This window comes from Homo sapiens, chromosome 5 (genome assembly GCF_000001405.40).
Source record: "Homo sapiens chromosome 5, GRCh38.p14 Primary Assembly".
NCBI classification, from domain to species: Eukaryota; Metazoa; Chordata; class Mammalia; order Primates; family Hominidae; genus Homo; species Homo sapiens.
Window position 1 is genome coordinate 137963343 of NC_000005.10, and position 12522 is coordinate 137975864.

General features: G+C 41.8%; 1 protein-coding gene across 46 annotated transcripts in view; it reads right to left on the minus strand.

Annotated features, from left to right (window-relative positions):
• Window positions 1-12522, minus strand: part of FAM13B (family with sequence similarity 13 member B) — a 114219-nt gene that overhangs the window by 25383 nt on the left and 76314 nt on the right. The window lies entirely within an intron of this gene.

A 12522-nucleotide genomic window follows, 5' to 3' on the forward strand; every position in this document is an offset into this window, starting at 1 on the left:
AGCTATGTAAAACAATGCCACTCCTCAAACTTAAAAAATTTTATGAAAACAGTTATCTATTGTGGAAAAGAGCAACCTTACTTATGTTACCATAAATGAGTTTGTTAAATTAATGTTTTTTAAATTTACCAGTTTTAATTCCTAATATGGTAAATCCTAACAGATATACCTATGTAAACAAAAGCTCTTTGGGATCTTCAATATTTTTAAGAGTATGAATGAGTCCCTGAGACCCAAAGTGTGAGAACCACTGATACAGAAATCAGACTTCGGTAACTTTTATGATCAATAACAGGTGTCCCCAACCCCTGGACCGGTACCGATCGCTAGCCTGTTAAGAACCAGGCCACACAGCAGGAGGTGAGCAGCTGGGGGAGTGGGGAGTGAGCACTATGGCATGAGCTCCGCGCCTCCAGTCATATGAGTGCTGGCATTAGATTCTCAGAGGCATGGACCCTATTGTGAGCTGTGCAAACAAGGGATCTAGGTTGTGTTCCTTATGAGAATCTAACTAATGCTTTGATGATGTGAGGTAGAACAGTTTCATCCCAAAACCCCAACCCCCTATCCACCATCCATGGAAAAACTGTTGTCCACAAAACCAGTCCCTGGTTCCAAAAATGTTGGGGATCTCTGCTCTAGAAGATAGCTTTACATTCTGAAGGTTTCTGGGCACATGAAATAACCATTACCCAGACCAAATATTTAATTTTTATTTATTTACTTAAAAAAATTTTTTGAGACAGTCTCACTCTGTCATCCAGGCCAGAGTGAGGCTCATGCAGGTTCACTGCAAACTCCATCTCCTGGGTTCAAGCGATTCTCCTGCCTCAGCCTCCCGAGTAGCTGGGACTACAGGTGTGGTGCCAGGACACCTGGCTAATTGTTTTGTATTTTTAGCAGAGATGGGGTTTCAGCATGTTGAATAGGGTAATTTTTTTGTAATTTTAGTAGAGATGGGTTTCGGCATGTTGGCCAGGCTGGTCTTGAACTCCTGACCTCAAGTGATCCATCTGTCTTCAGCCTCCCAAAGTCCTGGGATTACAGGCATGAGCCACTGTGCACAACCAGACCCAATATTTAAAATGAACCTTGGGGCCAGGCACAGTGGCTCACACCTGTAATCCCAGCACTTTGGGAGGCTGAGGCGAGCAAATCACTTGAGATCAGGAGTTTGAGACCAGCCTGGCCAACATGGCGAAACCCCATCTCCACTAAAAATACAAAAATTAGCCGGGCGTGGTAGCACACACCTGTAGTCCCAGCTACTCGGGAGACTGAGACAGGAGAATTGCTTGAACCCAGGAAGCAAAGGCTGCAGTGAGCCAAGATTGCACCACTGCACTCCAGTCTGGGTGACAGTACAAGACTCCGTCACAAACAAACAAACAGAACCTTGGTATCTCACTCAAAAGAACCAAATTCAAGCCCTAGCTCTGCCTTTCTCATCACAAATATGAGAATAACAATAATTTACTTGACTACCTCAGAGTTACCACAGAGAATCAAAAGAAATAGCTTATAAGAAAAACCATCTATATTGGCCAGGCACAGAGGCTCACACTTGTAATCCCAACACTTTGGGAGGCCAAGGCGGATGGATCACTTGAGGTCAGGAGTTCAAGACCAGCCTGGCCAACATGGTGAAATCCCGTCTACTAAAAATACAAAAATCAGCCAGGTGCAGTAGTGTGCGCCTGTAATCCCAGCTACTCAGGAGGCTGAGGCACAAGAATCACTTGAACCCAGTGGGGAGGAGCAGATTGCGGTGAGTGGAGACTGTGCCACTGCACTCCAGCCTGGGTGACAGAGCGAGCCTCTGTTTCAAAAAAATATAAAATATATAAATAAAATAAAATATCAGCAGGCAAAATAACCCATACCTTCTCCCCACTTCCTCCCATGTGCCCTTCCACAAACATTAAGGTCTGCAAAGGAAAGCTAAGGTGCTCTGGTCTCAATTCAGGTAAGTTAGAGAGCTTTGGCAGTGGCGGTGGCAGTGGCAGCAGCAGGAGGAGCAGCAGATACAGCACAGTCATATTAGCAATATCTTAGGAGCTATCGGAGATTACTGCCAAGAGTTAATTAAAACCTGACAGGCATTTCCGGTAATTCCTCTGGTCTCCATCCCTTCCTTAGGGGTCCATAATTGGTGCACCCACCTTGCTTAGTTCTGCATCTTCCCATTTCTCTCATTTACCTTTGGCTCAAGCATGCTAGTTACTTCTATTAAATAGGCTACATATCTCCACTCCATTCTGTACCTTGCATTTGCTGAACAAACACTCAATAAATTGCATATTGATATACTTCTATCTAGCCTACTCTCTCTCTTCTACTGAATTAATATGATCAAAACTGATGAGGTCTTAAGACTAGTACACGTCAAATTTATAGCCTTCTCTTCCTCTTGACTATCTACTAGAGTTTATAAATACTTCTGGCCTCCACTTCTGAAAGGAGATAAAACAGTTTCTCAGTGTTTGCAAGGTATGAATAATTCTAAGTTTTGAAGGGGCACCATCAATGAAGGTACCCTGAAATGAATGGATTTTACTGATGATAAATCCAGGTATTTTGATGTGAGTTCTAATCAGGCTATTCAACTTCATACACTTTTTTTTTTCACCTTCATACACTTTCAACTCCCAAAATATTGATTACTGTACAACTTATACCTATTCAAAATCTATAGTGAATAATCTCTTTGTATCAGATAAAACTCCTAAATATTTACTACAGAATCTAGTAGCACATTAAAAAAAAAATTCTATTTTGCAAAAACCTACTAGATAAGCTTATCCAAAATATAGGCCGGGTGTGGTGGCTCATGCCTGTAATCCCAGCACTTTGGGAGGCTGAGGTGGGCGGATCACCTGAGGTCAGGCGTTCAAGACCAGCCTGGCCAATATGGCGAAACCTCGTCTCTACTAAAAATACAAAAATTAGCTGGGCGTGGTGGTACACGCCTGTAATCCCAGCTACATGGGAGGCTGAGGCAGGAGAATCACTTGAACCCAGGAGGCGGAGGTTGCAGTGAGCCGAGATTGCACCACTGCACTCCAGCCTGGGTGACAGAGACTCCGTCTCAAAAAAAAAAAAGAAAGAAATAGATTTTATATATATATATATATATATATATATATAGAGAGAGAGAGAGAGAGAGAGAGAGAGAGAGAGAGGGAAAGAGAGAGAGAAACTCTTAAAACTCAACAATAAGAAAACAATCCAATTTAAAAACGGGCAAAAGACCTGAATAAACACCTCATTAAAGAAGATATACACATAGCATATGAAAAACTTATCATCGTATGTCATTAGGAAACTCAAAATTTAAACAAGATACCATTACACATCTATCAGAATGGCCAAAATCCAAAACACTAACACTACCAAATACTGGCAAGAATGTGGCACTGTCACTCATTGCTGGTGAATGAATGAGAAACACACTCAACTGATTTGAAACACCACTTTTATTACAAATGTATCCAGGCATTTAGTTTATAATAAAGGTGGCATTTCATATTGGTGGGAAAAGGATATATTATACAAAAAATTACGGTGTTGGGATATCTAGGTAAACATGTAGGACAAACAGCTGAATCTGCTCTTCACATCTTACACCATGATAAATTCCAAATGGGTCAAATATTCAAATGTAGAAAATGAAACCATAGAAGTATTTTTTTAAAAGAAGAAAGTTAGCTTATAATCTCAGAATAGGGAAGGCCTTCCCAACTATTAAAACCTAAAATCTTAAAAAAGGGAAAAAAAAAAAGACGATAAAGTTTAACACCATCAAAAATGACTTTAAGTAGTCAAAAGACAAAAAACTGGAAACAAATATTTGCGACTGATCGTTAAGAAAGTAGGTAGTTCCTTAATAAATAAAAAATATGGCCAGGCACGGTGGCTTATGCCTGTAATCCCAGCCCTTTGAGAGGCCGAGGTGGGTGGATCACAAGGTCAGGAGTTCAAGACCAGCCTGGCCAAGATGGTGAAACCCGGTCTCTAGTAAAAATACAAAAGTTAGCTGGGCGTGGTGGCAGGTGCCTGCAATCCTAGCTACTCGGGAGGCTGAGGCAGAGAACTGCTTGAACCCAGGAGGCGGAGGTTGCAGTGGGCTGAGATCGCACCACTGCACTTCAACCTGGGAGACAAACCGAGACTCTGTCTCAAAAAAAAAATGTACAAACCAAAAAGGAAAAATACCATCAACCCAACAGAAAAATGTGGATGTGGACAACTGGAAACAGAAAAGACGAGACCCATCATGGTGGCTCACATCTGTAATTCCAGTATTTTCAGAGGCTGAGGTGGGAGAATTGCTTGAAGCCAGGAGTTCAAGACCAGCCCAGGCAACAAAGTGAGACTCCTTCTCTGTAAAAAAATTAAAAATTAGCCAGGTGTGATGGCATGCCCCTGTAGTCACAGCTGCTTGGTAAGGTGAGGTGGGAGGATTGCTTGAGCCTGGGAGGCTGAGATTGCAGTGAGCTGTGATCATGCCACTGCACTGCAGCCTGGGTGACTAAAGCAAGACCCTGTCTCAAAAAATAGAATAAAAAGACTTAACATTTCTATAAAAATGTCAATGTAGGCCAGGCGCGGTGGCTCACACCTGTAATCCCAGCACTTTTGGAGGCTGAGGAGGGCGGATCACGAAGTCAGGAGTTCGAGACCAACCTGATCAACATGGTGAAACCCCGTCTCTACTAAAAATACAAAAATTAGCCAGGCGTAGTGGCGTGTGCCTATAATCCCAGCTACTCGGGAGGCTGAGGCAGGAGAATCGCTTGAACCCGGGAGGCAGAGGTTGCAGTGAGCTGAGATCACGCCATTGCACTCCAATCTGGGCGACAGAGCAAGACTGTCTCAAAAAAAAAAAAAAAGTCAATGTAAAAGAAAGTCACAATGTAAGTTTCCACTAAAAAAAAAAAGTACAAAAATTAGCTAGGTGTGGTGGCACACACTTTTAATCCCGGCTACTTGGGAGGCTGAGGCATGAGACTCACTTGAATCTGGGAGGTAGAGGCTGCAGCAAACCGAGATCATGCCACTGCACTCTAGCCTGGGCAAGACTGAGACTCTGTCTCAAAAAAAAAAAAAAAAAAAATTCTTAAGATTAATTTCAGCCTGGCTAACCAATACATTATAGGACTGTGGTTTATGTAGCACCTAGTACTACAGTTTATGTAGATCACATAAAGCTGTTTATGTGATCAGCTTTGAAACATTAAAAAGCAATTTGTGGGGGGAGGAGCCAAGATGGCCGAATAGGAACGGCTCTGGTCTACAGCTCCCAGCGTGAGCGACGCAAAAGACGGGTGATTTCTGCATTTCCATCTGAGGTACCGGGTTCATCTCACTAGGGAGTGCCAGACAGTGGGCGCAGGTCAGTGGGTGCGTGCATCGTGCGCGAGCCAAAGCAGGGCGAGGCATTGCCTCACTCGGGAAGCGCAAGGGGTCAGGGAGTTCCCTTTCCTAGTCAAAGAAAGTGGTGACAGACGGCACCTAGAAAATTGGGTCACTCCCACCTGAATACTACGCTTTTCCGACGGGCTTAAAAAACGGCACACCAGGACATTATATCCCGCACCTGGCTTGGAGGGTCCTACACCCACAGAGTCTCGCTGATTGCTACCACAGCAGTCTGAGATCAAACTGCAAGGCGGCAGCGAGGCTGGGGGAAGGGTGCCCGCCATTGCCCAGGCTTGCTTAGGTAAACAAAGCAGCCGGGAAGCTCTAACTGGGTGGAGCCCACCACAGCTCAAGGAGGCCTGCCTGCCTCTGTAGGCTCCACCTCTGGGGGGCAGGGCACAGACAAACAAAAAGACAGCAGTAACCTCTGCAGACTTAAATGTCCCTGTCTGACAGCATTGAAGAGAGCAGTGGTTCTCCCAGCACGCAGCTGGAGATCTGAGAACGGGCAGACTGCCTCCTCAAGTGGGTCCCTGACCCTTGACCCCCAAGCAGCCTAACTGGGAGGCACCCCCAGCAGGGGCAGACTGACACCTCACACGGCCGGGTGCTCCAACAGACCTGCAGCTGAGGGTCCTGTCTGTTAGAAGGAAAACTAACAAACAGAAAGGACATCCACACCAAAAACCCATCTGTACATCACCATCATCAAAGGCCAAAGGTAGATAAAACCACAAAGATGGGGAAAAAACAGAGCAGAAAAACTGGAAACTCTAAAAAGCAGAGCACCTCTCCTCCTCCAAAGGAACGCAGTTCCTCACCAGCAACGGAACAAAGCTGGACGGAGAATGACTTTGACGACCTGAGAGAAGAAGGCTTCAGACGATCAAACTACTCCAAGCTACGGGAGGACATTCAAACCAAAGGCAAAGAAGTTGAAAACTTTGAAAAAAATTTAGAAGAATGTATAACTAGAATAACCAATACAGAGAAGTGCTTAAAGGAGCTGATGTAGCTGAAAACCAAGGCTCGAGAACTACGTGAAGAATGCAGAAGCCTCAGGAGCCGATGCAATCAACTGGAAGAAGGGGTATCAGTGATGGAAGATCAAATGAATGAAATGAAGCGAGAAGGGAAGTTTAGAGAAAAAAGAATAAAAAGAAATGAGCAAAGCCTCCAAGAAATATGGGACTATGTGAAAAGACCAAATCTACGTCTGATTGGTGTACCTGCAAGTGACGGGGAGAATGGAACCAAGTTGGAAAACATTCTGCAGGATATTATCCAGGAGAACTTCCCCAATCTAGCAAGGCAGGCCAACGTTCAGATTCAGGAAATACAGAGAACGCCACAAAGATACTCCTCGAGAAGAGCAACACCAAGACACATAATTGTCAGATTCACCAAAGTTGAAACGAAGGAAAAAATGTTAAGGGCAGCCAGAGAGAAAGGTCGGGTTACCCTCAAAGGGAAGCCCATCAGACTAACAGCGGATCTCTCAGCAGAAACTCTACAAGGCAGAAGAGAGTGGGGGCCAATATTCAACATTCTTAAACAAAAGAATTTTCAACCCAGAATTTCATATCCAGCCAAACTAAGCTTCATAAGTGAAGGAGAAATAAAATACTTTACAGACAAGCAAATGCTGAGAGATTCTGTCACCACCAGGCCTGCCCTAAAAGAGCTCCTGAAGGAAGCGCTAAACATGGAAAGGAACAACCGGTACCAGCCACTGCAAAATCATGCCAAAATGTAAAGACCATCGAGACTAGGAAGAAACTGTGTCAATTAACAAGCAAAATAATGAGCTAACATCATAATGACAGGATCAAATTCACACATAACAATATTAACTTTAAATGTAAATGGGCTAAATGCTCCAATTAAAGGGCACAGACTGGCAAATTGGACAAAGGGTCAAGACCCATCAGTGTGCTGTATTCAGGAAACCCATCTCACGGGCAAAGACACACACAGGCTCAAAATAAAAGGATGGAGGAAGATCTACCAAGCAAATGGAAAACAAAAAAAGGCAGGGGTTGCAATCCTAGTCTCTGATAAAACAGACTTTAAACCAACAAAGATCAAAAGAGACAAAGAAGGCCATTACTTAATGGTAAAGGGATCAATTCAACAAGAAGAGCTAACTATCCTAAATATATATGCACCCAATACAGGAGCACCCAGATTCATAAAGCAAGTCCTGAGTGACCTACAAAGAGACTTAGACTTCCACACATTAATAATGGGAGACTTTAACACCCCACTGTCAACATTAGACAGATCAACGAGACAGAAAGTTAACAAGGATACCCAGGAATTGAACTCAGCTCTGCACCAAGCGGACCTTATAGACATCTACAGAACTCTCCACCCCAAATCAACAGAATATACATTTTTTTCAGCACCACACCAGACCTATTCCAAAATTGACCACATAGTTGGAAGTAAAGCTCTCCTCAGCAAATGTAAAAGAACAGAAATTATAACAAACTATCTCTCAGACCACAGTGCAATCAAACTAGAACTCAGGATTAAGAATCTCACTCAAAACTGCTCAACTACATGGCAACTGAACAACCTGCTCCTGAATGACTACTGGGTACATAACAAAATGAAGGCAGAAATAAAGATGTTCTTTGAAACCAACGAGAACAAAGACACAACATACCAGAATCTCTGGGACACATTCAAAGCAGTGTGTAGAGGGAAATTTATAGCACTAAATGTCCACAAGAGAAAGCAGGAAAGATCTAAAATTGACACCCTAACATCACAATTAAAAGAACTAGAAAAGCAAGAGCAAACACATTCAAAAGCTAGCAGAAGGCAAGAAATAACTAAAATCAGAGTAGAACTGAAGGAAATAGAGATACAAAAAACCCTTCAAAAAATTAACGAATCCAGGAGCTGGTTTTTTGAAAGGATCAACAAAATTGATAGACCGCTAGCAAGACTAATAAAGAAAAAAAGAGAGAAGAATCAAATAGACGCAATAAAAAATGATAAAGGGGATATCACCACCAATCCCACAGAAATACAAACTACCATCAGAGAATACTACAAACACCTGTATGCAAATAAACTAGAAAATCTAGAAGAAATGGATAAATTCTTCAACACATACACTCTCCCAAGACTAAACCAGGAAGAAGTTGAATCTCTGAATAGACCAAGAACAGGAGCTGAAATTGTGGCAATAATCAATAGCTTACCAACCAAAAAGAGTCCAGGACCAGATGGATTCACAGCCGAATTCTACCAGAGGTACAAGGAGGAACTGGTACCATTCCTTCTGAAACTATTCCAATCAACAGAAAAAGAGGGAATCCTCCCTAACTCATTTTATGAGGCCAGCATCATCCTGATACCAAAGCCAGGCAGAGACACAACCAAAAAAGAGAATTTTAGACCAATATCCTTGATGAACATTGATGCAAAAATCCTCAATAAAATACTGGCAAACCGAATCCAGCAGCACATCAAAAAGCTTATCCACCATGATCAAGTGGGCTTCATCCCTGGGATGCAAGGCTGGTTCAATATACACAAATCAATAAATGTAATCCAGCATATAAACAGAACCAAAGACAAAAACCACGATTATCTCAATAGATGCAGAAAAGGCCTTTGACAAAATTCAACAACCTTCATGCTAAAAACTCTCAATAAATTAGGTATTGATGGGACGTATCTCAAAATAATAAGAGCTATCTATGACAAACCCACAGCCAATATCATACTGAATGGGCAAAAACTGGAAGCATTCCCTTTGAAAAATGGCACAAGACAGGGATGCCCTCTCTCACCACTCCTATTCAACATAGTGTTGGAAGTTCTGGCCAGGGCAATTAGGCAGGAGAAGGAAATAAAAGGTATTCAATTAGGAAAAGAGGAAGTCAAATTGTCCCGGTTTGCAGACGACATGATTGTATATCTAGAAAACCCCATTGTCTCAGCCCAAAATCTCCTTAAGCTGATAAGCAACTTCAGCAAAGTCTCAGGATACAAAATCAATGTACAAAAATCACAAGCTTTCTTATACACCAACAACAGACAAACAGAGCCAAATCATGAGTGAACTCCCATTCACAATTGCTTCAAAGAGAATAAAATACCTAGGAATCCAACTTACAAGGGATGTGAAGGACCTCTTCAAGGAGAACTACAAACCACTGCTCAAGGAAATAAAAGAGGATACAAACAAATGGAAGAACATTCCATGCTCATGGGTAGGAAGAATCGATATCATGAAAATGGCCATACTGCCCAAGGTAATTTATAGATTCAATGCCATCCCCATCAAGCTACCAATGACTTTCTTCACAGAATTGGAAAAAACTACTTTTAAGTCCATATGGAACCAAAAAACAGCCCACATCGCCAAGTCAATCCTGAGCCAAAAGAACAAAGCTGGAGGCATCACACTACCTGACTTCAAACTATACTATAAGGCTACAGTAATCAAAACAGCATGGTACTGGTACCAAAACAGAGATATAGATCAATGGAACAGAACATAGCCCTCAGAAATAATGCTGCATATCTACAACTATCTGATCTTTGACAAACCTGACAAAAACAAGCAATGGGGAAAGGATTCCCTATTTAATAAATGGTGCTGGGAAAACAGGCTAGCCATATGTAGAAAGCTGAAACTGGATCCCTTCCTTACACCTTATACAAAAATCAATTCAAGATGGATTAAAGACTTAAACGTTAGACCTAAAACCATAAAAACCCCAGAAGAAAACCTAGGCATTACCATTCAGGACATAGGCATGGGCAAGGACTTCATGTCTAAAACACTAAAAGCAACGGCAACAAAAGCCAAAATTGACAAATGGGATCTGATTAAAGAGCTTCTGCACAGCAAAAGAAACTACCATCAGAGTGAACAGGCAACCTACAGAATGGGAGAAAATTTTCACAACCTACTCATCTGACAAAGGGCTAATATCCAGAATCTACAATGAACTCAAACAAATTTACAAGAAAAAAACAAACAACCCCATCAAAAAGTGGGCAAAGGACATGAACAGACACTTCTCAAAAGAAGACATTTATGCAGCCAAAAAACACATGAAAAAATGCTCACCATCACTGGCCATCAGAGAAATGCAAATCAAAACCACAATGAGATACCATTTCACACCAGTTAGAATGGCAATCATTAAAAAGTCAGGAAACAACAGGTGCTGGAGAGGATGTGGAGAAATAGGAACACTTTTACACTGTTGGTGGGACTGTAAACTAGTTCAACCATTGTGGAAGTCAGTGTGGCGATTCCTCAGGGATCTAGAACTAGAAATACCATTTGACCCAGCCATCCCATTACTGGGTTTATACCCAAAGGACTATAAATCATGCTGCTATAAAGACACATGCACACGTATGTTTATTGCAGCATTATTCACAATAGCAAAGACTTGGAACCAACCCAAATGTCCAACAATGATAGACTGGATTAAGAAAATGTGGCACATATACACCATGGAATACTATACTATGCGCCATAAAAAATGATGAGTTCATGTCCTTTGCAGGGACATGGATGAAATTGGAAATCATCATTCTCAGTAAACTATCGCAAGAACAAAAAACCAAACACCGCATATTCTCACTCATAGGTGGGAATTGAACAATGAGAACACATGGACACAGGAAGGGGAACATCACACTCTGGAGACTGTTGTGGGGTGGGGGGAGGGGGGAGGGATAGCATTGGGAGATATACCTAATGCTAGATGACGAGTTAGTGGGTGCAGCGCACCAGCATGGCACATGTATACATATGTAACTAACCTGCACATTGTGCACATGTACCCTAAAACTTAAAGTATAATAATAATAAATAAAAAAAAGAAAAAAAAAGAAGTGCAACCATACAGCATTTCTCCAAAAAAAAAAAAAAAGCAAGCAATTTGTTTTCCTTACACTGCAAGTCAATTTCAGAGAAAACAAATCTCCAACATTATCTTTTATGTCTAAAATGTTGATCTCCTTACAATATTCTAGCCCAGGTGTTGGCAAACTACAGCATACTAGACAAATCCAACCTGTTGCCAGTTTTTGCATGGTCACTTGGCTAAGAAGGGTTTCTACGTTTTTAATGATTGTGGGTAGAAGGGAGAATCAAAAGAATAATGATATTCTGTGAAGTGAAAATGACACAAAATTCAATTTTAGTGTCCATAAATTAAATTTTATTGGAACACAGCCATGCTCATTTCTTACGGTTTTTTCTGGCTGCGTCCATGCTACAATAGCAGAGTTAAGTAGTTGTGGCAGAGACTATATACCCACAATGCCTAAAATATTTACTGTGTAGACCTTTACACAAAGTTTGCTGACTCCTGCTCTATCTAGCCTTACACTTTCCTAGACACAAGTTACTTTCTACGAAAGCCACTTGAATCACGCCATGCCATAATACACTTGAAACTCATACATCCTGTCCAACTAATATTCCCCTCTTCTGCAACTTCTTCACCTTACTGTCACCGCTTGAAAACTTCATTCTAAATTTCTAATCCACCCAACACGCACTCTGTACCCTGGCTAACTATTTCAAAGCTATTTAGTCAATGCCCTAACCAATGTGGTCTAGTTTATGACCAGCTTTCTGTCCTCCAGACAGACAGATGCTACAATAAAATGTGTCACTTAACGTACCTTCCTAGTTGGCTCACTACAAATTCATGTCATCAAACTTCAGTTAGACCTCCATTGGTTCTCAAACATCTGGTGACTCAGTTCTGTCTGATTTCTCCCCACAGAGACTCCTGCAAAACTACCTATTTCTTCAGATCCAAACCCAATTCCTGTCTCCTCACCCTCTGCAAATGCATTTCATTTTAAAATGGTCAAAGCCATCTGAATTAAGTCCCCAAAACACCTCTCGCTTAAAAAAATATTCTATATATCCCCTTTTACTGAAGATTAAAAGTAGCCTCTCCTATTTAGGAATAGTCACTCAACTTGCACACTGAATCACCTTTCTTCCATCTCTCACTCCCAACCCCCTCTATGCAGTGTTCCCCTAACTACCCTGGGTTTTTTTTTTTCTTTCTGACATTTTTTAGTCTCTCCCTATCTAGT